At 39.1% G+C, this 24,589-nt stretch overlaps 1 protein-coding gene and 1 long non-coding RNA gene across 66 annotated transcripts in view; one reads left to right on the top strand and one right to left on the bottom strand.

The window, feature by feature from the left end:
• DTNA-AS1 (DTNA antisense RNA 1) overlaps positions 1 to 8,265 on the bottom strand; it is a 31,274-nt gene extending 23,009 nt beyond the window's left edge. Inside the window, exons 1-3 of the long non-coding RNA NR_199046.1 lie at positions 8,142 to 8,265; positions 6,533 to 6,593; positions 532 to 662 (exon numbers count right to left, since the gene is read on the bottom strand). This is a non-coding gene — a long non-coding RNA (DTNA antisense RNA 1). The remainder of the gene's footprint in view (positions 1 to 531; positions 663 to 6,532; positions 6,594 to 8,141) is intronic.
• Positions 1 to 24,589, top strand: part of DTNA (dystrobrevin alpha) — a 398,533-nt gene that overhangs the window by 266,090 nt on the left and 107,854 nt on the right. For all 65 annotated transcript variants that reach the window (XM_047437323.1, XM_047437332.1, XM_047437326.1 and 62 more), the window contains one exon: positions 6,560 to 6,640. In XM_047437323.1, coding sequence (XP_047293279.1) covers positions 6,560 to 6,640 — 81 coding nt within the window. The remainder of the gene's footprint in view (positions 1 to 6,559; positions 6,641 to 24,589) is intronic.

The following is a 24,589-nucleotide window of genomic DNA, read 5'->3' on the forward strand; positions in this document are numbered from 1 at the left end:
CTCCTTTTTAGGGACAGACCTAGGACATGTACCTTCAAATCCATTCCCCTTAGATGCTGAATCAAGCCTTGTTTAAAAGCCGATTGGGCACAGGATGGGTAGGTTTTAATGGAAGGGAAGTGATTGGAAAACACACTTTGAGAACATTGAAGGCTGCCTAACAAGGTAAGGAAGGTCCTGGGGAGAAATGAGAGTGATGCCACCGGCCTGTCAGCAGAGACAGGACTTGAAATCAAAAGGAGGCAAATGAAACTACTCAACAAATACCATTTTTGGCTTTTGTTTTTGCTTTTGTTTTGAGACACAGTTTCACTCTGTCGCCCAGGCTGGAGTGCAGTGGCGCGATCTCAGCTCACTGCAACCTCCGCCTCCCTGTTCAAGCGATTCTTGTGCCTCAGCCTCCCAAGTAGCTGGGACTACAGGTGCACCACCACACCTGGCTAATTTTTGTATTTTTAGTAGAGACACCCTGGGTTTCACCATGTCTGGCCAGGCTGGTCTCAAACTTCTGATCTTAAGTGAAACACCCACCTTGGCCTCCCAAAGTGCTGGAATTACCACTTGAGCCACTGTGCCCGGCCTAAGTACTGTTGAATTATTTGAAGGCAGGCCATCCTTGAGAGTGTTGGCTGAAGTCGGCACATGCACGATTGGAAAGGAACCTAGGGCATGATTTTGAAACGCACACTATGAGTTTAAGAAAACCGATCTCAAAAATTCAGAAAAATGACATGAATGACCCCACCACCGTAGGTTCATGGATACGGTGACTGTTTTCACTTGCTTCTTCATTTCTCATGCTCCTCAGTCTTTTTAAGATATTAACACCATGGATCGCCACCCCAGAAATTCTCTCTATGTCATCACCCTAACATAGTCTCCTGCTTTTTCTGTCCCCTCTACTTCTCTTTTTCTGTCTCTTAGTACCCTGTAGACACTGAAGTCAGAGAATTTAAAGATTTCTTCTTGACCAGTTGTCTCCATATACAATTTGTCTTTCTCTCAAGCCTTTACCTTTATTGCTATAACCCTTGAGTGTTCAGAGTCCCCCAAAACAACTCTCATTTCTCATGAGCCAGCTTATCCAAAATAGGCAGCACATAAACTAAACTTCCCTTCCAGCCTTGCCTACTTGTTTTCAAGTGTTCTGCTAATGAAGCAGTCTGAGGAGGGCTCATTGTCACTCCACTAATAGTGCCCATCACAAAAATACCTATCATCCCTGCCAAGGCGGCTGCCTTCTAGTGTTCCCAAAGCCTGCGGTCTTTGAACAACTGCCAAGCAGCTGGGCACAGCTCAGAAGTGGGGAGAGCACTCCTGTTCCCAAGTTTGTGCCTCATTTTGTCGCTAGAAATATAGAATAGCCCTACTTGTGCACAGAGTCTCCTGTTGGCAATCTTGGCCCAGTCACGCACACTACTACATTTTGTGTGCTTGTTGATAATTTCTGGAATATACTAAAGCTCTAATCCTTATATCCAACTGTCCTGTGGATATCTTACTTGGACATCTTACAAGCAACTCAAACTCTTTAGCCCAAAACTATCTTCACCCATCAACAAACCTATTCCTCCCTGTTTGTACCTTACTTAGCTCAATGAGGGATACTCTATTCCACTCAGCTACCTAAGGTAGCAATCATTTTTTACCCCCAAACTCCTTTATCTTCCTGTCAGTATCTCTCTCTTTCTCTCTCTCAGTATCTCTCTCTCTCCCTCCATCCTTCACACACACACACACACACACACACACACACACACACACACACAGAGCCAATGATAAAGCGTGGCAGAGTTCAGGCAGCAGGTTCATCATAGGCTTCATTTTTATTCTGGAAATATGTATTGAGCAAAACTTTTAAATGAATGAGATATTTAAGAATCAAAATGGCTATATATTAATAGAGCTATCAAAAATGGCTATATAATGAGCTATCAAAATATAAAAGGCAAAACATACAAAAATTGTGTGAAAATGTTCAGAGTGCAAAAGCTAAAACCAAAAGTTAGATAAGACTGGTTCGTTGATTTGTTGGTTGATTGGTTGTTTGAATGAACAAATGAATGGGTAGGGAAAAGGTGGAAGGAAAGAAGGGAGTGAGAGAGGGAGAGAGAGGGAAGTAGGGACAGAGGGAGAAGAGAAGAAAGAGAATCTTTTCAAAAAGGGCTAAAGAAAGGAAAAACTGCTGTTGATAACAGTGTAAACAATCTGTGTCTTTGCTGTCCTATTTATTACTTCCTTCCAACTATGACATGGGTACAAGAGGCTTGAGGAGACGGTGCAAGAGCACTAAGTTGCCTTAAATAAATTTGTTTTAGTTTTTTTATTATGAAAAGTTTCAAATATATGTAGAAGTAGAGAAAATAGTATTTATCTCAACTCTTAATTATGTATGCCATCCCCCACTGTATTAGTATGAAGCAAAACTAATAAATCACTTAGATCAGTTGAATCACCAGATTTAACGAATTATATTCCAGTGATATAATTCAGAAAACAACCACTATCCATTATTTTGAAAAATAATGAAGAGTACATTGAAAAAAAATGTAACGAGAAAATTCTGTACTTTTTTATTAAAAAGAAAAAGTATAGATTCTTTGGAGTTTAGGGTATGAACTGGTTATAAGTTTCATAACAAAATGGATGTTTTTTAGATCTTGGCCAAAATATAGTGGTAATTCTAGACATATCAACATACTAAAAGCAAAGATTGCCCTGCTGATTTTATTTCTTTACTCATTTATTTAAATTCCATCTTTTTAATAGATAAATTAAGTCAGCTAATACGCTTTTTAATAAGACTACCAGACTGCTAGATCAGAAAAATACCATCTGATAAAAATTAACCTTAATTTCAGCAAGATATTGACCAAAGCTGTTGGACTGTGCATGTGTTGGGGAATTGTGGACTGGGTCACAATACAGTTAGGTAGATTTATGGGGGATGTCATGACCATGTCTAAAGCCACAACTAATGGGTCTATCAACTTGGAGGAAGGCGTCTAGTAGTATCCTGGAAGGCTCTGTTTGTGGACCTGTTCTGGTCCTTGGTTTTAATCAATGACTCGAATGAAGACACAGAACTAATCCCAAAGTAGGTTTTTGGGTTTATAAACTTTCAAGAAAAGACCACACATGTAAAACTGGGTTAAGTTCATTGTTTGCTGGGGCAAAGAAAAATACATTTATTTTGACAAGGCAGATAAACAGAGTAAGAGGCTATGTATCATATCTCAGCCCAGCTTCTTCTGGTCCCTTTCTGGATGGATCCTGCAGCTAACACATACATTGATTGTGCACGGTTGTGTGCTGCTATATCTGACACACTAAATTGTATTGTTCACCACATCCCTTTTAATATTCAGGGCTTACATCATCAGCCAGGAAGAATTTATACAGCATTTATAGACCTACAGACCTCTTCCTGATTCTTGAACAAAACACAGGGTCAGTTAAGTCCACACAGTGATACGACAGGAGAGAGCAGTCAGTGCACTTCAGGCCCAAAGCAGCATCTCTACATCCCTCTTTACTGCATCCTGGAGAAGTGCACCTTTGCCGTATTTCCCCCAGGACTTCAATCAGAGGAAAGTGCAGAGGTGCCAGGGTTACTGTGCTCAGAGGGTAAGGTCTTGCAGAAACTGAGAAACTTAACTATGTGCCACATCACAAACATTTTTTCATCTGGAGCTTAAATCATTATGCTTGAAGAACTTACACAAATAATCTGTGCCCCTAATGTTTTCTTTTAAGTGATTATTTACAGATATTGAGACTCTCCTGATTGCTGAGCCAAACTTAGCACCAATAAAAGTACATCCTCATCTGGGAGCAAAGGCAGATTTAGCATTCAGGTATTTCTAAAAGTCTCTCTGTCTCTGGTTATCGGGCATCTTAGAGAGCTCATTCCCCACGAGTCACATTTACAGAGGGCATGAAACTAGGAAAGATTTTTGAAGTTCCAGTGACAACTTAAGAATTTTAAAAGATTCAGAAAAGTTCCTAGTATGAGCTAAATTTTAAAAGTAACTAACCAGATAAATATGACGTCCTACCCTTAGCTCCAAAATAGGCATTTAAATAGCAAATAGAAAAGATTTGACTTATATAGAAGTGCATATGATTTTTCAAAGCAGTTTTTTAATTAACTTCAAACTTAATAAAAGCTGGCATAATGAGCCGTCTATTTTTAAAAAAAGATCACATTAGTTAGGAGTCCTTATCAAAGGTAGTAATAATTGCTTTCTGTATATTCTATACAGGTAAAGCAATAGCTATTTGGATTAATTTTGGACACCTAATTTTAAAGAGATATTAGCCAGTCACAGAACAGGGTGACTAGAATGTTTAAGGGTTTCAAACCATGCTTGATCATAATGAAAATAATAATAACAACTGCCATGAATTGAAGCCCTACTGGGTACCAGACAGATAAACAGTATACCTGAAATGGCTGTGGAGTTGAACATCTTTTACCCTAAAAAAAGTCAAGGAGAAGCTACCTCCCCAGCTAAATTTTAAAGTCCATGATGACAAGGACTGTTGCACATAATTTTCAGATGGTAATGAGGATGCTAATAATGATAATGTAGCTGCTTTGCAATATTTCAGAAATGAATTCTCAAATGGCAGGGGGAAAAGAGTATGTGACTCCAGGGGAAACTAGATCAAATAGGTTGAAGTTACAGGGAGGTAAATCAAAGCTCAAATATAAAAAAGAAATTTCTATCACATATTTTTGTTCAGAAATGGCACATGAAGCCTCTTAAGGGGCCCATTTACTGTTAAGTGGTCATTATGTTCTCAGTGCAGAAGTCAAGACTTTATATCTGTATTACCAGCCAGTAAAGTTGATATTGTTATCTCGCTTTATCCATGAGGAAATTGAGATGCCAAGGAAAAACTTGGTGAAACTCACACAACTGGGAAGTGACAGAGTTAAATTTTACTTCCTTTAAAGTTCATTTATTTTCACAAGTAATAATCTTCTCTATCATTGGAAATAATCCTACGTGGCCATTGGCTAAATGTTCATCTCTTGAGAACATTTCTAAGGGAATTCCTGCATTGGGTGAGGGTAGTTCCCCATCTCTTTGATCCCTCAAGTGCTCAGTGTCACTAAGCCTGTTTGTCAAAGAATAAGCTTTATTAAGAGTGACCGTTTAATGATCTGCTTTGTAAAACCACAAAGTAATAGGACTATTGGCAACACTTCAAGTGAATCTGAAGATATCGGTTTGAGTTGAAGAAATGCTAAATCCCCTAGTGGGGGACACTTGCTAATTCATGCTGAGTTTCACTGGGAAAGCACTTAATTGGCCGTCTAATATAATCGCTTCCAGGATAGTTCATTTACTTTCTATTCTGTTTTACTCTAAAGGATTCACATAGCACATTTTATTAGTATATGACTGGTAAAGATAAAAGTTCAATACATGCCTTTATATCTGTTATGGACCATAAACATGGGCTTAGAAAAAGAAAATATGTAGAAATGGAGAAAAGCAGACATTTATTGATAGTCTAATGTGTTCTAGACAAAGTCTAGAGATTAACTCATTCAAAGGAGGGTGGGAGGAATACTAGGAGCTCAGGTCTTGATGTAACAAGCAGCCCATCTGCAGGGTATTGAGATGAGACTGACCAAGGCTACGAGAGATTCTGTGGTAGAAAGTGGTGGGCAATGTCGTTAGGCAAGTAAGCTGGAAAGAAACTGCAGACGAGCTTGGATTCTGAGCAGAGCTTTTAGACCTGATGTTCTGGGCATCAGGAGCCATGCTGGACTCCTAAGTGGGAGAGTGAAATAAGGAAAGTAGTTTAAGAATATAGGGAATGTGTTCCCTCTAAGTTAGGAAGGAACTGGAAGCCACAGTAAAAGAAAGGTTGTTTTAGAAAGGCATGTCTTCCTCTGAGATTGACAGGAAGGATCACAAGAAAGTTGTTAGTAATAAAAATGAATACTTATGCAGCATTTACTGTGTGCCAGACGGTGTTTAAGTGCCTTAGGTATATTCACTCATTTATCCTTACAACAGTCCTGTGCAATAAGTACTATTATTATCATCATCCCCATCTTCCAAGTGAGAAAACTGAAGCTCTAAAAGCAATTGGCCTAAGGGCACACAGAGAAGATGCTCAGCAGTCAGTACATGGTCACCTAACAGCCACATTCTAATGACCAATAGCAATGCACTTTAAATGCTTATTTGATGATAGTATCTATATCATCTCGCTGTTTCACTGTAGGTCACAGCTTGAGCAGACTGTTTTCAGAAGTGGTGGACACAACAGGGATGACATTGTGTTTCTTGATCCAAGAATATGGTTTACAACCTAATCTCCAATGTTGATTACATGTGTGTGCTCTTTTTCCCTAGAACCTGAGGAACTTGTCCTTGAATAGGACAGACCTGTTCAAGTCTTAAAGTTATATTTATATTCTAATAAAAATAAAATTAGGGGTAAGGATCATATCTACAGTTGTTTTATTTGTAAACATTGTAAATTTCTTTCTGCACACATGGCATACCTTATGTGTCCTTTTTCCCCGCACTAGGGGCTCAAGATCTGGATCGCATCCGACTCTCCACCTACAGAACAGCATGCAAGCTTAGGTTTGTTCAGAAGAAATGCAATTGTAAGTATGCCAGTTGTTTGGACTAATTACCATCATGAATCCTATAGTTTACATTTGGTACTAAGTTTATTAAACTAGATTCTGTTACAAATATTGCTAATATTGTTATATATGTTTACACAACAATAAAAGGGGTATTATGAGGCACAAATGGTAGAGATGACTCCTAAGTAGTCTTGAAATCTGAAAATGCTTAAATACTAAAGCATATGAACCGTTTAGTTCATACTAAAAGGATGAACCTCTGGATACATATACAATATAATTCTGACCTTGGAATGGTTTAAATCTGGATGGATGTTTTTCTTCTTTTCTCTAACCTTGGTATCATAAATGCAGTGCCATCAAAATGGTTTCCAACATCATTCTCAGCAAACTATCGCAAGGACAAAAAACCAAACACCACATGTTCTCACTCATAGGTGGGAACTGAACAATGAGAACACACAGGAAGGGGAACATCACACTCCGGGGCCTGTTGTGGTGTGGGAGGAAGGGGGAGGGATAGCATTAGGAGATATACCTAATGTAAATGACGAGTTAATGGGTGCAGCACACCAACATGGCACATGTATACATATGTAACAAACCTGCACATTGTGCACATGTACCCTAAAACTTAAAGTGTAATAATAATAAAATAAAATAAAAATGGTTTCCAAGAACTTTATAAAATATCAAACATTAAATCCCCCTTATATTTGTATTTTCTTTTACAAGCACAGGAAAATATTTTAAAGCTTTTGGAAAACATTTAAGTTTTTTTCTGAAAGAACAAAATTAGCTCTTTGTGTCAGAGTTTTAACCACATTTGTTTACATGAGACAAAAATAAGAAAAGAGACAATACTTAAAGAAACAAAGGAACTTGCTCCAGTTTTTTTTTCAAATTTAAAAGTGTAAGCAATAAGCTAGATCACTAGTAACAATGAGCAGTCTTATTCTCTGCTGGGTCAACACTTCCATTGTATTACCATATCCATTTTCTCTTGGAAAAAAATATTGATTCATAGTTCATGTGTAAGAACGTTTTCTTTTCTTTTTAAAAAGTTTACTTATTAAAAAAGTCTCATTTTTTAATTAATATTGGATGAATTTTTAAAAATGAAAACCGTAATGTTCTCCTGATACATACACATAGTTCTATGATAACTGGCATGGTAATTAGACTCATGGTAAGGGTAGAAACCGGCATCTCCACATGTCTACCCTCTCAGAGTCTCTAGAAGATGTTTCCTAGGGCCCTGGGCAGGTCACCTTAGCCCCAGGCTTCTAGGCTTACAGCTAATCATGACTGTGAGGATGCAAAGTACGCATCTATTCCTCAAGTTTCTCCTCTACATCTTATTCCCCAGCCCCAGTGGATAAAAATGGGGCTGAAGTTTGGGGAAGGAGGGGATGGAAGAAAAATATAAGTAGGTTGTCTTATTTTCATTTTCTGTGGCTTATAACAGAATACTTGAAACTTTGCAATTTATAAAGAAAAGGAATTTATTTCTTACAGTTATGGTGGTTCAGAAGTCCAAGTCAAGGGGCTGCCTCTGGTGAGAGTCTGCTTACTAGTGGGACTCTCTGCAGAGTCTCAAGATGGTGCAGGGCACACATAGTAAGGAGGCTGAGCATGCTAACTCAGGTCTGTCTTCCCCTTCTTATAAGGCCACCTCACTCCTGTGATTACTCATGGATTAATCCATTCATGAGGGCAGAGCCCACATGACCAATCACCTCTTAAAAGCCCCACCTCTCAACACTGCCTCACAGGGGGTTAAGTTTCAACATGAGTTTTAGAAGGGACAAACATTCAAACCATAGCATTGGTCACACATCATATATGTGTTTTGACTCCTCACAGGAAGCTAAAGCAATCTAAAATGAGTAGTGAGAAAAGCATTACAGATGTTGAAAGAATTTGTTACTGTATTTGTAGTCCTAATGAGTCAATAAAAGCCATTTCCACTGCTTGCGATAGGGGCCAAGGAAAATGTTCCCACAGAAGAAGTTTCCTCTTCCCCTTCAAACACATCACCCAGATTACAAATAAAAGGAAGAATCTCCGTGTTTTCAGCAATTAAAAGGGATATGATTGTCCCACGTTCTTATCATGTGTTACCACTACAATGGCCTCAGAATTGGAGGGGAAGGCAGAGGGTAAGTGGTAGACACTCTGTCCTCCTTAGAGCTTTGCCAAGCGGAGCCTTCCTTAGGCTCCTTTCAGGAGAGCTAGAGATTTCCAATAAAAGACTACAAAATGGTAAGAAGGAACGCCCCCCCAAAAAAAGCAAAAAAAGGAAAACAAAGAAAAGAAAGAAAGGAAAAGGAAAAGGAAAGGAAGGAAGGGCTCAGGGAATCAGGGACTTGGCAACACTGCACTCAACATTAAGGTGGACACACTGTGTTGTCCCCACTCAACATTAAAGTGGACACACTGTGTTGTCTGCAGCTGTGGTCCACAGGCCTTATCCCATGCCTCCTGCTCTCTGAGAAAGGCACTTTCTCATTCTTGGGCATTTCCTTTTCCTCTTTCTGTTCTTTTCTGGTCCACATCCTTATCCTGCATCCAGAATTGTCTTGGAATTTCTTGAAAAACAGTAGAGAAGAAGTGAGGATGCTAATCCATCCCTGGGTGAAAATAGAAGCTTATACCTGTCCAGTGGCCCTTCAGTCTGTCCATTCATTGACCTCTTAATTCAGTTAAGTGTATAATGAGCTCCTGCTATGTGTTTGACATTGTGCTAGGTACCAAGGATAGTGTGATGATGAATGACATGCAATACCTTCCTTCAAGTTGCTCAAAATCTAACTGAGAATATGGGCTTTTAAGCAGATTTATAAAACCATGTAGAAAGATAATGATAGAAATATGTACATGGTATGTGAGAGCTTCAGGGAGTCAGTGCCCTGAGTTGTTGGGGGTGAGGGTCACTGGTAGGACTTTCCTAGAGAAGGAGATATCAGGAAAGTCTTATTTATTTTATAATGTACCTTATAAAATTCCTGTATTTCAGGATGAGAAAAGATATTACATTCTACAAAATTAGACAAAGTTAAGGCCCAAGGAAAAAAAACAAGCATATTTTGAATGCTTTGCTAAATTAAGGTTTTAAAAATTGTTTCTACCTTCATCAGAGGCATTAAATGCAAGTACTATATGTCTTTGCAAAGTTTTCCTTTCTAACAATAAATGCAACAGTTGTGATATTCAGAGGTATTTGTAAAATGCTTACATAATTGATCTTGGCTTATCTTAATCAAAGTTGAAACCTTCCTTCTAGAAAGTTAGCCAACCAGAAGCAGCAATGTTTACATGACATAACATTAGTCAACATTGAATATATTCGCTGATTAGAGGAAAGTAATTTTAGTCTGCAATAAACCTAACCCACAATAAATTATGATACCTTATAATGGAGTTTTTCCCTACAGTAAAAGAAATAAGAAACAAAATGTAGGTAGCATATTTGTAAGTGCATTTTTTTATTGGAAAGTGTCAGGCTGCTCTAACAAAAATACCATAAACTGGGTGGCTTATAAACAACATTTATTTCTCATAGTTCTGGAGGCTAGAAAATCCAAAATCAAGGCACTGCCAGATTTGGTATCTAGGGAGGGCAGCCTTCTGGTTCATAGGTGGCCCCTTTTCACTGTGTCCTCTCATGGTGGAAGAAGCAAGGCAGCCCTCTGGGGCTTTTTTTTTTTTTTTGACAGAGTTTCACTCTTTTTTCCCAGGCTGGAGTGCAATGGTGCAATCTCGGCTCACTGCAACCTCCGCCTCCCAGGTTCAAGCAATTCTCCTGCCTTAGCCTCCCAAGTAGCTGGAATTACAGGCATGCACCACCACGCCCAGCTAATTTTGTATTTTTAGTACAGACAGGGTTTCACCATGTTGGTCAGGCTGGTCTCAAACTCCTGACCTCATGTGATCTGCCCGCCTTGGCCTCCCAAAGTGCTAGGATTACAGGTGTGAGCCACAACGCCTGGCCTGGGGCCTCTTTTATAAGGGCACTAATCCCCACCATGAAAGTTCTGCCCTCAAGTCCTGATCACCTGCTAAAAGTCCCCACCTGGTAATACCATCGCATTAAGGGATTAAGTTTCAGCATGAGAATTTGGTGGGGCACAAACATTCAAACAATAGCAGAAACTCATTATAGTATTTACTTCGTAGAAATCAGTGGATCTGAAGTGAAAATAGATTGTTTACTTTTAGGTCCATACCTTATTTAAAATTTATTGCGTATACTAACAAAACTAAGTTTTAAAACTACATAAAGGAGGAAAAAACAAAAACGGCTGTTGTAAAACTATCACCTAGAAAAAAAATGAATACTGTCTGCATACAGCACAGACTGTGTATGTTTTCAGGAGATTTCTTTTTTATCTATTATCTAAATCCAAATTTCATAAATGTTGGTTAATTCCCTATAGTTCTTTCCCCACAGCCCTTGCCTACTTTGTTTATGATTTTGCATGTGGACAACTGGTTCCTATCACTGACATTCATGTTTATTTTCTTCTGTTCAATTCCTAATGTATGCTGAGAATAGTCAGTTCCCGGGATTCTAAAAGGACTCTGAACAAGAGGCCACTGTCACCCATGAACTAAATGAGGCCCAGAACCTACTTTTTTATAGAGAATGAACTAATGGATTTTATAGATGAATATTTGTAATCGATTTGATAACAGGGAACACTAACTTGTAACCCCAATTTTTAAAAATGCATACTCCCAAGAAGAATTATATTCTTTTTTTTTTTTTTTTGAGTGGAGTTTTGCTCTTTTTGCCCAGGCTGGAGTGCAATGATGTGATCTTGGCTCACTGCAACCTCTGCCTCCTGGATTCAAGTGATTCTTCTGCCTCAGCCTCCCAAGTAGCTGGGATTACAGGCGTGCACCACCACGCCCGGCTAATTTTGTGTTTTTAGTAGAGAGAGGGTTTCACCAGGTTGGCCAGGCCAGGTGGCATGAGCCACTGTGCCTGGCCAAGAATTACATTCTTCTCATTGGTAGACCAGCATTTTCTTAATGTACCCAATTATTGGATATTTAACTTCAGTAAAAATGTTGTGTAAATTCTTTTTCTCTCTTGTTATGTATGTACTGATATAATATCCCTGATTTTGTCCCTTGGTCCACAAAAAGAATGTTGACCAATCCCTGCTATAAAAGACACTTGTAAGTCCAGGCGTGGTGGCTCACACCTGTATTCCCAGCACTTTGGGAGGCCGAGGCGGGCGGATCACAAGGTCAGGAGATCGAGACCATCCTGGCTAACATGGTGATACCCCATCTCTACTAAAAATACAAATAATTAGCGGGGCGTGGTGGCGGGCGCCTGCAGTCCCAGCTACTTGGGAGGCTAAGGCAGGAGAATGGCATGAACCCGGGGAGGTGGAGATTGCAGTGAGCTGAGATCGTGCCACTGCACTCCAGCCTGAGTGATAGAGTGAGACTCCTTCTCAAAAACAAAAACACACTTGTAAAAAACCCATCTTCTTTTTGAGTCAAAGGGTTCTCCTTTCCAAATCGCTTCTTCCCCTTACCATTCATCTTTGTACCCTGCCATACCTTCCCCATGATGTAACTAGCACATTCTCTAACAGAATAAAAGAATGAGTGTTTCTAAAAAATTAGGGGACACCAAGTTGATTATTTGATATTCTAGGAGGAATGGAGCAGAACAAAGAATACAAATAATATTTTAAATAATCCTTTCTAATCAGTAGTCTTCTCTTCAGCTTCCAGATTTTTTGTTAACTTTCCACAAAAATTAATACCCCATAAACTCTTATAAGGATATATAAAATGGCATCATCTCAGCCTTTATTTTAGACAAATAGCTGTTTCTACCATAACATTATTTCCTTGGTCAGCATTGACGTGGTTAATGATCCAGATACCCTGTAATGTCAGCAGATCTTTTTTTTTTTCAGAAATTACTTTGGAGTCAATGAAATGCAGCCCTAAAATCATGAACAACAAAGGACAACAAGAGAAATAAATCAGAAATATCTAATCCCTCCTGTTTAATAGTAGGAACAAAATTAAGAAGGCAAGGGAATATTCTATCCTACACCCACAGCTAACATTGCACCATCTTTTAGTCCTACTGGTTACAGCCTGAATTTTCTTTCCATTAGTCATATCAACTAAAATTTAATTAAAATTTTGTTTAAAAGGCAAAGAGGAGAAAAGGTCTATAATTATATCTCGGCTGTCAGAGTTTCTCAACATACTCTTTTTCTAGTAATTGAAATATTTTAAAGGTATCCTTCATTCAGATATGTTAAGTTAGAACACCTGCTTTTTCTATGTTACTGTCTCTAAATTTCTTTTCAAATTTCTTTTGAACCAAAAAAATGCAGTTACCTTTTTACCTAAATGTTTCTCTATCACCATAAAAGTAAGCCAAGTGAGTCCCATATAACTAGTCGGTCCTGAATCAATATTCTATGAATGAACGAATATGCTCCACTAGATTCATTTCTCACCAGTCAGGTGACTAGAAGAACGCTGGTCTTATGTGGCAGGAGTAGCCTTGAGCTATGTTTTTAGTAGTAAACACTAATATTCCACTCATTTTTCTTCCAACTAGTGTATCAGTATTTTCCTCTTCCCTGCTTCATGTTTAAATATGTGGATTTTTAGCTGCCACTATGAATTTTCTATTCTTGGTAAAAAATTACCATAAATTTAGCAGCTTAAAGAAGCACACATTTATTATCTTACAGTTTTTGTAGGTCAGAAATCCAATGCAGCATGGCTGGGTTTTCGGCTTAGCTTTACACTCAACTAAAATCAAAGTGCTGGTTGGGTCTGTGATTCTCATGTTGGGATCAAGGTTCTCTTCTAAGTGCATTCATTGTGGGAAAGTGTTATTTTCTTGTGGTTGTAGGATTGGGGCCCCGTTTCCTTGCTGGCTGTCAGCTGGAGACTACCTTCAGTTCCTAGAGCCTCCCTTATTCTTTGCCTCATGGCCCCTGTGGGCTGCTCAGGGCATGGGTGTTTGTGGCTTCTTCCAGCCCAGCTAGAGTGTCCTCTCTGACTTCCCCATTTATGACTAGCCAGAGAAGTCTCCTTGCTTTTCAGTGACTCACGTGTTTATATCAGGCCCACTCAGATGATATCCATATTTTAAGGTCAGCTAATTTGGGATCATAATATCATCTGCAAAATCCCTTCACTGCAGCCCCTGGATTCATGTTTGAATAACTAGGAGAAAGTATGTGACACCATGCACCAGGAATCAACCACACTGCTCAAGAACATAGACTCTTGTATTTCTCAGATAACGATGTATAAAATCTTGGATGTAAAAATAAAGTTTAAAGTCGGAAACACAGGCAAGAGAAATCGAACCAGAGAAAGATATGTATTTAAAAGAGAGGGATCAGAGGATTCTCCCTAGTCAAGGAGCCAGCAGGAAAAGCAGGAATATTCACAGTTGGGGAAATAAACTGCAGATGACTAACCCTTGGAGCACAATTATCTATGTTAGTGTTGTTGCAAATGTTTTTACTACATATTTTCATTCCTGATGTTGAATCATTCTAGACACTTGTTTAGAATAAAGGAAGGTGCATTGTGCTAGAATGCAACGTTCCCAAAAATTCCCTGTGGGAAAGTTGGTGGTGGCAGTGGAATATAAACAAACCTATTAAAGATGCCTATGTAATAGGACAATGGAAAAACTGCTCCTCTCTGGCACCCTGGACCTATGGCAAAATTATTTCCCCTTAATCAGAGTAAACCTCTGGATGAGAAAAGCAATGATTTTAAAGTCCTGATGATTATGATATGGGTTTAATTAAAGCTGCTTCTTCCCTTTAATGGTTTTTAAGATCTTAAAAATCAGGGTTTTGTTTCCTTGTTAGTAGACTTTTGTTTTAGAGAATGCCAGAAGCTTTGCTTAAACTGCTGCCACTGCATAACCTGTGAGCTAAGCCACACCTGTAGTCTCGTTTCCAGGCATCTGGATGTAACACACAGTGACTTCCTTCCCTTTCTTCTGCTTCTGCATTAGACGTGAAAGCTGTGCCAACTAAGCACTTTTACTTTCACAGCTGAGGAAAAACCATCATCTTAAAATGCTCCTGTCAGTTGGGAAAGAGTGATGCATACAGAGGAATGCGTTTCAAGCTTCCCAACCCTATCTAACAGGTGCCAAGGCAAGATTCGATGACCTTCCCCTGGTGGCCTGCCAAGCCCTGTTTCTGGGAAACTGCCTGCTTGGCTTGGAGCCAGTCAGCAGAGCGATGAAGGGATGCCCAGAAGGGGTTCTCCCACTGCCTGGCTCCCAGGATCTCAGGACTCCAGCACACATTGTAAGAAAACAGAAGTCAGTCGGGAGGACAGGGATGGGAGAGCAGCTTCTCCCATGAAATCACACCTGAGATTCCATCTGAAAGTCACTCCTGATGTCACCTGGGTTCACTCCTCACTGAGGTTTTGTTAACATTCATTGTTATTAGCAATCACTCATTTATGTATTCACTCCATAAATAGAGACAGCACTTACTGCATGCCAAGCATTATTCTAGATCATGGGGAGAACAGTGTGAGTACAAAGTGGACCATTCAGAAATTCATCCCTATTTGCATATTCTCTTACTGAAACTTTACATAAATGCATATTTATTTTAGTGTACTTCTTCAGCAATAAAAATTTCATTTTCAATATATCACTCTCACCTGTCGAAGAGTAAAGCAAAAGAGAGATAGAAGTTGGTAATAGAAAAGTGGAAGATTTATTCAGCGAATCCTTTTAAAAGAGAGGTTGCTTCCACAGGGTACCAAGACTCATCAAGTTTCTCAAGTCATAAATCTGGGCATCATCTTTGACCTCTTATCTCAACCCAGATTGAATCAATCATAAAAATCTCATCAGTTATGCTTTCACATATATCTCAAATCTATCCACATCTTTCTGTGCTGACTACAAATGCCTAGTCCAAAACATCTTTACCTGAATTACAATCTAAAATGGCTCCTAAAACTTCCTATCCCCTGAGCAATCCCATGCATAATCCCCAGGACTGGGAATTTCGTGGAATTCACTCCTGTGATTAGATTATGTTACATTGCACAGTTGCAACAAACCTTAAAATAGGGGAATCACCTGGGTGGGCCTGAACTAATCACCTGAGCCCTTTAAAAGCAGAGAGTTAGCCAGGTGCAGTGGCTTATGCTTGTAATCCCAGCACTTTGGGAGGCCGAGGCGGGCGGATCACAAGGTCAGGAGATCGAGACGATCCTGGTGAACACTGGGAAACCCCGTCTCTACTAAAAATACAAAAAATTAACCAGGCTTGGTGGTGGGCGCCAGTAGTCCCAGCTACTCAGGAGGCTGAGGCAGGAGAATGGCGTGAACCTGGGATGCGGAGCTTGCAGTGAGCCAAGATTGCACCACGGCACTCCTGGGCGACAGAGCGAGACTCCATCTCAAAAAAAAATAAAAATAAATAAATAAATAAAAATAAAAGCAGAGAGTTTTATCTGGCAGCCGTAGAAGAGAAAATCAGACGTTTGAAGGGACAGATGAATTTGTCATGCCATTGCTGGCTTGAAGATGGAAAGTGCCACATGCTCAATCACTAGATGTTGGGAGACAGCTGGCTGACAGCCAGCAAGGAATAGGGACCTCAGTCCTATGGTCACAAGGAACTGAACTGTGCTAACAAATGTCTTGAAAGTATTTTTTTTCCTCAGAGCTTCTAAAATAAAACTGAGTTCAGCCAACACCTTGATTTAATCTTGTGATACCCTGAGCAGGGAACCAGTCATGCCATACTTAACTCCTTAACTACAGAACTGTGAGTTAATAAGAGTCTTGTTTTAAGATTATGAGTTTGTGGTTATTTGCCACACAGTCATAAAGAACTATACACAGTAAAGCATGGACCTGTGCTTTCTGCTATACACAGTAAAGCATGGACCTGCACTCCAGTGACATCTGTGAGAAAGAAGACTGCTCAGATATGTAAGAGCCACTGGGACATATACTTTGTATAAAATTCAAAGCAGGACTGAGACTGAATAACCCTGTAGGTTTAGAAGGGGAGTGGACACTTTGTTTTACACAACTGATGAAGTTCAGCGCTATTTACCGAAAACTTTTCCCTTATCAAGTTCCAAGTCCCTTATCATCATAGAGGGAGAAAAAGGAACCAAAGGCAGGATCTGGACAAGGAGCAGGATAACAAAGGTGGGAGAGAGAAGTCAAAAGTCAACCATTCTGAGTAATGACACCCCCAAAGCATCCTCCAAACACGGAGAAGCCACACAGGGAAATAACATATGAGTATTTTCTTTTTGAGACAGAGTCTTACTCTGTCGCCCAGGCTGGAGTGCAGTGGCACGATCTCAGCTCACTGCAACCTCTGCCTCCCGGGTTCAAGCTGCATCAGCTTGATTCACCTGCATCAGCCTGAGTAGCTGGGACTACAGGCACTTGCCACCACACCTGACTAATCTTTTGTATTTTTAGTAGAGATGGGGTTTCACCACGTTAGCCAGGATGGTCTTGATCTCCTGACCTCGTGATCTGCCCGCCTCAGCCTCCCAAAGTGCTGGGATTACAGGCATAAGCCACCGTGCCTGGCCCACATGAATATTTTCTACCACAAAATGAATTCAATCTCAAAGGGATATCTAAACCCAGATTAGATCTTGTCACTTCTCTGCTCAGATTCCTGCAGTGGCTCCCCACTTCCCTCATGGTAAAAGCATAGCCCTGACAATGGCCCAGTTGGCTCCACTGGATCAAGTCTTTTTTTGTTCTGCCCTCATCTCCTCCCACTCTCCTATCTGGTTACTCTGTTCCATCCACCATTGGCCTCCTTACTTCACTGGGAACATACCAGGCATGTGCCCGCATAGGGCCTTAGCACTGGCTGTTCCCTTCACCTGGAATTCTCTTCCTGTAGCGAACTCAATGGCGGACCTCCTCGTCTTTCTCAATTCTTTGCTCACTTGTCATCTTCTCAGTGAGCTCTCTACCTTGGCAACCCCATTTAACACTCCAGTTCCCCTATCCGCCTTGTCCTATTGTTTGTATTTTTCCTAAAGTATTTATTACATTCTAATATACGCTATGCTATGTAATTTACTTAGTTGTTATGTTTATTACACCTTCCCAACTTGAGTGTAGGCTTCTTTGGGCAAAGATCAGTGTATGTCTTGTGTACTGACATATCCCCCATACCTGGAACATTATAAGTGTTCAAAAAATACTTACTGAATTAGTAAATCAACATTTTGAGACTACTGGGGAGGAGCTCTTGAACAAGAAAATGATGTCAAAGATAGTGTATGGTTCAGTACCTATTAATTTTAAATGAATAAAATACCACTGGAGGTCTACCTAGTGTGTTGACATTAAGTTGTATTTCAGAAATGAAAAATATTTATAGATATCTTCTGGGTTTACCCCAATGCTCAGTATCCATCCATTTTCACACTGTATTAGTTCGTTTTCACACTGCTATAAAGAACTTCCCTGAGACTGGGTAGTTTATAAAGGAAAGAGGTTTAACTGACTCGCCATTCCATGTGGCTGGGGAGGCCTCAGGAAACTTACAATCATGGCAGAAGGTGAAGGAGAAGCAAGTACCTTCTTCACAAGGCAGCAGGAGAGAGAAGAGAGCAAGAGAAGAACTACCAAACACTTATAAAACCATCAGCTCTCATGCGAACTCACTCACTATTATGAGAACAGCATGGGGGAAACTGCCCCCATGATCCAATCGCCTCCCTCACTTGGCACATAGGGATTACAGATCCCTCTCTCCACATGTGGGCATTACAATTCACGATGAGATTTGGGTGGGGACACAGAATCAAACCACATCAACCCCTAAGTCTGTTTTCCTCTTAAGTGATCTGAACTTTGACTTTTCTTGCCATAAGGCTTCTAAAAATCTTAACCCTCATCATTGTGTTAGTGAGGGAACTGCAGTAGCTTTAAGAAGCCTAGCTATTGAACCTATGACTAGAAGGCCATGTGACAAAACCCATTACAGAGAAAGCCCTATGGATTTGTGAGGTTTTACAGGGGCAGAAGGATCTCGCAGCAGATTGAGGTTTTCTTTTCCTAAGTTATTTGGGAGACTTCAGAATCAACTGGAACTTAAGAGCATCATTCTAAAGCTTGATACATAGAAGCTCCTACAGGAGATGGGGAGGGATGATTACATCAAACCTTAAAAATATAAATATCAAAAATAAACCAAGCCAATTTACTATCCAAACAGCTAATGTATTTAGGCAAAAGACTTTTAAAAAGACAATTGCATTTTTTATTACATTAAGTGCAATGTAGAGTGGCACCGATTGTCTCCACTTCACTCTTTTTATAGCATATTTTATCTTTTTCTAGTTAAATGTATTCAATGCTTTTTAAAAAGGTTGTTAAAATGTACATAACATTTTAACCATTTAACTGTATGGTTCAGTGGCATTGAATACATTCACAATGTTGTTCAAGCATCATCACTGTCAATTTCCAAAATTTTCTCATCATCGCAAACAAAAATTCTGCACTCATTAATTTTTTTAATATCCTGGAAATATTGTCTCAGCCATTCTTTTCAGTGATGGCCACCAAATAGACTAACCTCTGGGGTATAGACTAAAATGGCTAAAAGTCAAGCACATGGTTAAGTGACCTTCATGGTACCCCTAAAAAATGTTCGTGAAAATAAAGTTACTTTACAAAACAACCCTATTTGTCAATGACTTGTAAAATAAAAGCTATATATATAGGGAAAGTTTGTTGTTGTTGTTGTTGTTGTTGTTTTGAGACAGAGTCTTGCTCTGTAGCCCAGGCAGGAGTGCAGTGGCGTGATCTCGGCTCACTGCAAGCTCCACCTCCCAGGTTCACACCATTCTCCTGCCTCAGCCTCCCAAGTAGCTGGGACTACAGGCGCCCGCCACCATGCCCAGCTAATTTTTTTTTTTGTATTTTTAATAGAGACGGGATTTCACCATGTTAGCGGGAAAGTATTTTTAAAAATCATTCTGCAAATATGTATGGATCACCCTCCATGTGCCAGGTGCTCTGTAGACAGAACAGTAAACAAAACAGAAAAAAACATTCATGTAGCTTGCATTCTAGCAAACAACACAACAATTTCAGATAGGAGCAAGTAATCTAAGGAAAACAAGACAGAATGATAAGAATTGTTTTGTGTCTTATCACTGTTTACATCCTCCACAGTGTCTAGCACACAGAATGCATTTGACCCATATTCATGTGCAGATGGGTTCATAAAATGTCTATTGAGTAATGACTCTATGCATGACATCTTACTGAGTACCTTGAGGGACATGGAGATTATTCAGACTTGGAGCTTCACTTCAAGCTCCTTGTAAATGATCATAAGAAACCTGATATGCACATTCTAGAGGTAGCTATTTGATAACTTATTTAGCTTTTTCCTTGGCCTAAACCCAGTTTTTATTTCATTTTTCTTTCCATTACTCTAATTTCCCAGGCCCTTTCTAAAGTCTTTGCTCAGCATGGTCTGTACAACTTACTTTAGCATCTTCAAAATGTTCAGCAGTAGCAAGAAATCTAAAAGCCTGAATTGTCCAATAAAGGATTCTCCCTTTCTTCCCTTTTCAAAGCCCCCTCCCCCAATAATAACAACAACAATCCATCCTCAGGAACAGTTAGATGTGTGTCAATCAGATAATGTTGGTTCTTGGCACTATCTTTGCATTTAAAAGGGAAAAAATTTAACTGGGGCAGCATAAGAAAACAAATGCAATGAGATTTTTCCATTAGTTTAAATTATTCTAGATAGTAATATTCCTTAGTATACAAATTTAGTAATAGAATAACCTCAAGTTTACAATCCAACGAATGTGTTCTATTTATTATAATGCTCCTGATTTTGTAGATTGGTAGTATCAGACAGTGGATAGTGGATCTACTATCAAATAGTAATTCCCCTCTCATGCTTTGCTGCATAAACTGATATCTGCCCTATCAATCTCATGAGCCAAATGTCATTTTCTGAAGGAAAAAGGGGTTACTTATAATTATGGTAGTTACAAAATCAAGTATATATATATATAACATATTTAAATAAATTGTCGGTAGCTGTTTTTAACCATTGATGGTGTTGGGCTAGGACGTCTGCTTTATCTCCTTGTCTGTCAGAAATTATAAAGTTCTATTTGTTCAAGGTGAGGAGAGCATAGTACAAAAGATATTAAGTGGCTTCCCTTGGGTAAATACCAGATAAAATCATGTAATTAAAGAGCCTTACTTCTAACTTCCCAATATTATCCAAGTGTTATAGTAGACAGTCAGTGTCCTACAATGTCTGTCAAGCCTTGTCACCAAAAAACACTGGAACATTGAGAAAAGCATGTGGACCAGCAAACCTGCTGTAAAACTGATAGTAATGGCACCAGCCCTAAGCAGCTTACTTTCTCAGAAAAATAATCAGCCTTTTTGATATAATCAAGTATGATACATTTTATCTTTCAATTTAAATAGTGCTAAATAAAAAACAATGATATTATATTGTGGAGAAAAATAAAGTGAGAAAAATTTATGTAACTAAACAAGAATCAGAATCTGCTTCAAACATGGTCATAATCATCATTTTCTTCTCATTTATTGTTCTGGGAGGATTCAGCCAGGAATAGACAGAGACTTTATTAGGATCAGTGCTTAGTCTGTTTCCCCAGGAAGCAGACCTCAGGACAAAACTTGCATGGAAGCAGCTCACTGGGATAGTGAACCCAGAACAAACTGAAACCAGGAAGGGAGGAAAGCTGATAGACAGTGCAGGAATTTCCAAGAAACCTTGTCCAATGCACTCCAGAACTGTCCATTCAGGAGACAAAAGGAGAGAGTTCTAACCTAGCTGCTCTGTCCTGCATTGGTCAATGGTTGCCTACAGGAGTTAATGTCCTCATGCTTCTAGGTTGCACATGTGTGAGTGGTAGCTAAGTTCCAGGTGTTTGTACTGAGATGTCAGAGGTATTCAGAAAGAGGCTGAGGCCAGCCATTGTCCGGTTGCAGCTGCATCAACCTGGTTAAAATCTGTGTGGTACCAGTCACGTGTGCAGGGGCAGGAGAAAGAGGCAGGGCCAAGAGGATTTCCAAAGGTACACAAGAAGGATCTGAAATATCACTCACTTGATTTTCATTATTCAGGGTTCTTCATCACTATTTTTCATGGGCTTTTTAAAAAATTTTGTTTTAATTGAAAAAGAGTAGTATACATTAATATGTATGGAGTACAATGTGATGTTATGATAAGGTAGACATTGTGTAATAATTAAAACAGGCTAATTGACATATACATCTATCTTACATACTTATCATTTCTTTGTGATTAGAGCATTTAAAATCTAATCTTTTAGCAATTTTGAAATATACATTATTAACTTTAGTCACCATGCTGTGCAATAGATCACTAAAACTTATCCCATTGGCCTTAAAAGTTTTTTTTAACAAAAGATACACTCCTCATGTTCTTTATACTATATTGATTTATGGATGACCTCACTCAAGATACCTATAAATGACCTGTACTGCTGATTAACCACCTAGAGATCTCTTCATCCCAAATTCTAGTCCTATTTCCCAAGCAATTTTCTATGCACTAGGGAGCTGGGCCACAGCTATTTTCTGAATGAATGAATGAATAAATAAATAAATAAAGTGGATTTTCTGTTATTTATTTGTATTTATTCTCATTGCACAGAGAATTGTATAGATATATAGTACAGAATGAATGAAGTAAAAGTAATGCAGTTGCTACTTACTCACTTTTTTCAATGGCCAGGTATACTTCATCTATTTGAGTTTATGTTGGCCAGATGGGCACATAATTCAGGGTCAGTGAGTTCAAATTTCTAAAGGACAAGTAGGAGACAGTTCCTCATGGCTGCCAGCCCTATCGGTGCTCTTTCAGAATGTGGCCTCTGGCTTCTAGGATTCTGGCCACAGTTCAAGTTACTGCATAAGAAATAAGAAAGGTTCTGTGGAAAACTATGCCCAATAAAGCCTTGTGGAGCTTTCTTAGAACACTGAGGTAAAGGGAAAGCTTCTAAAGATTATGTGTAATGCTGGGCATCCAGTAGGTGCCCTACTCTATTCCATTCACTTAGCATTATTGAGAACCCAGTTTGAACAAGGTATTATGCAGAGTTGAGAGGAATGCAAAGATGAACAAGACATAGCCCATGCCCTCAAGATGCTAGCACGTAGTTCTGTGGTTTTTAAGTTTACCCCCACGTATCTTCTGGAGAAACTGATGAAAGCCATGGACCTATGTTTCAAAATATACATGACCCTGAGCATAAAATTTAGCTCATGATTTTATATTAAGTGGAATTTATAATTCCAATTATGGAATGATATAAAACATTCAGGAAAAAACTTGTTTATTAATAACTATGGAAAATATGTAGTGTCATAAATGGTCCAATAGATATGTGAAGTGCTCTGGGAGCAACAAAAGGGAGAAAGTAATCCTACCTGAGGGTATAAGAATGAGCATCCTCAGGGACATGGCATGTGAGTGGTACCTTGAGGGATGGTGATTGTAGGGCACACCTGGTGGAGGGAGCAGGCTAAGTAAAGGCACATACAAGAAAGCCAAGGGAATGTCCTGGAATTTATGAAGTCCAGTGTGGCTAGAGCATAGGACTCTTGGAAGAAGCTGGAGAATAGTGGGAGATGGGACTACAGACTAGTAGACTGAGGTCCAAACACTGATTTTCATGCTTAGCCTGTTGGGTTTTACTCAATAGGCAATGGAGAACGGCATGGCCAGAGCAGAACCTTATAATATTTCTTAGGATAGACAGAAAGAGACAGAAAGTGGAGGTGAGTAGGAGGCTTGCTTCTAAGTAGAAGGCTTTTACAAGCCTAGATTAGGGCACTAGAATGTAGGGAATGATAAGACCACATTAAAGATGTGAGCTCTAAAAGCCCTTTATAAAATGACTGTCCACAGGAGAAATAAGATACAAGATTTTCTTGCTTCTAAAGTGATTAATATTCTGAATAAAGTTAAACACTGGCAATGAGAAATTAGTTATCATTCAGATCTGTCTTTTCATTTACCTTCTCTTATTATTTTTGTAATCCTTGGTATAATACTTTAAAAATAATGGGCTTAATAAATCCTTGTTCAATTGAATGTTTTTAGATTTAATTTATAGTGTGACAGCTACTGAGTCAACAATTTTCATACCTCACTTTGAATAACGATTCTGGTCTGCAGACACAATTTAAGGAATACTGAATACCTTTTCCTAATAGGCAATGGATGTACTACCAGGGCCTGTGAAGATTGGCATGATATTCAATTTGATTTTACACCAAAAATATGTTGTAGACCTTTTCATGAAGGTTTATTACATCATCTTAACCAGGAAATTAAAGTGAAACTAAAATGTTATCTCTGTAAGACATGATGCTTCTCTCTAAGGATCCTTAGCAAAGAGAACTACCTTGGAGATAAAAGCATGCTTTCAGAGCCAGAAAGACGTTGAGATTGGAAGCATAAAAACGCCTAGTGAGCTACTCAGCTGTTGTTTGGGTTCACATTTTATAAAGGTATAGCTCATGCTCACTAATGGAAAACAAATCTGAAGATTGTGCCTTTAGTAACATTTTCTTTCTGATTTCAATGTTTGGTTAATGTGGGTGATGGCGGATAGCTTCAGTGTAATCACATAAAAATGTATCTATTGACCCTGGAAAAGCATACCATTTAATTGAGTCCTTCTTCCCTAAAAGATTTTTAAATACCATTTTCTCATGATAAGAGGCCTGAACAAGGGCATAAAAATAAATTATTTATTTTAGAGCTCTTAACAACTAGGTAATTTGCACCTGGCTTTCTTGGCCACAGTGCTCCCAGGAAATTCCTCTGAATCAAAGGAGCATCTCTATTCTTCCTGTCTCTTGTCTAACTCCAT

Source organism: Homo sapiens, chromosome 18 (genome assembly GCF_000001405.40).
Source record: "Homo sapiens chromosome 18, GRCh38.p14 Primary Assembly".
Taxonomy (NCBI): Eukaryota; Metazoa; Chordata; class Mammalia; order Primates; family Hominidae; genus Homo; species Homo sapiens.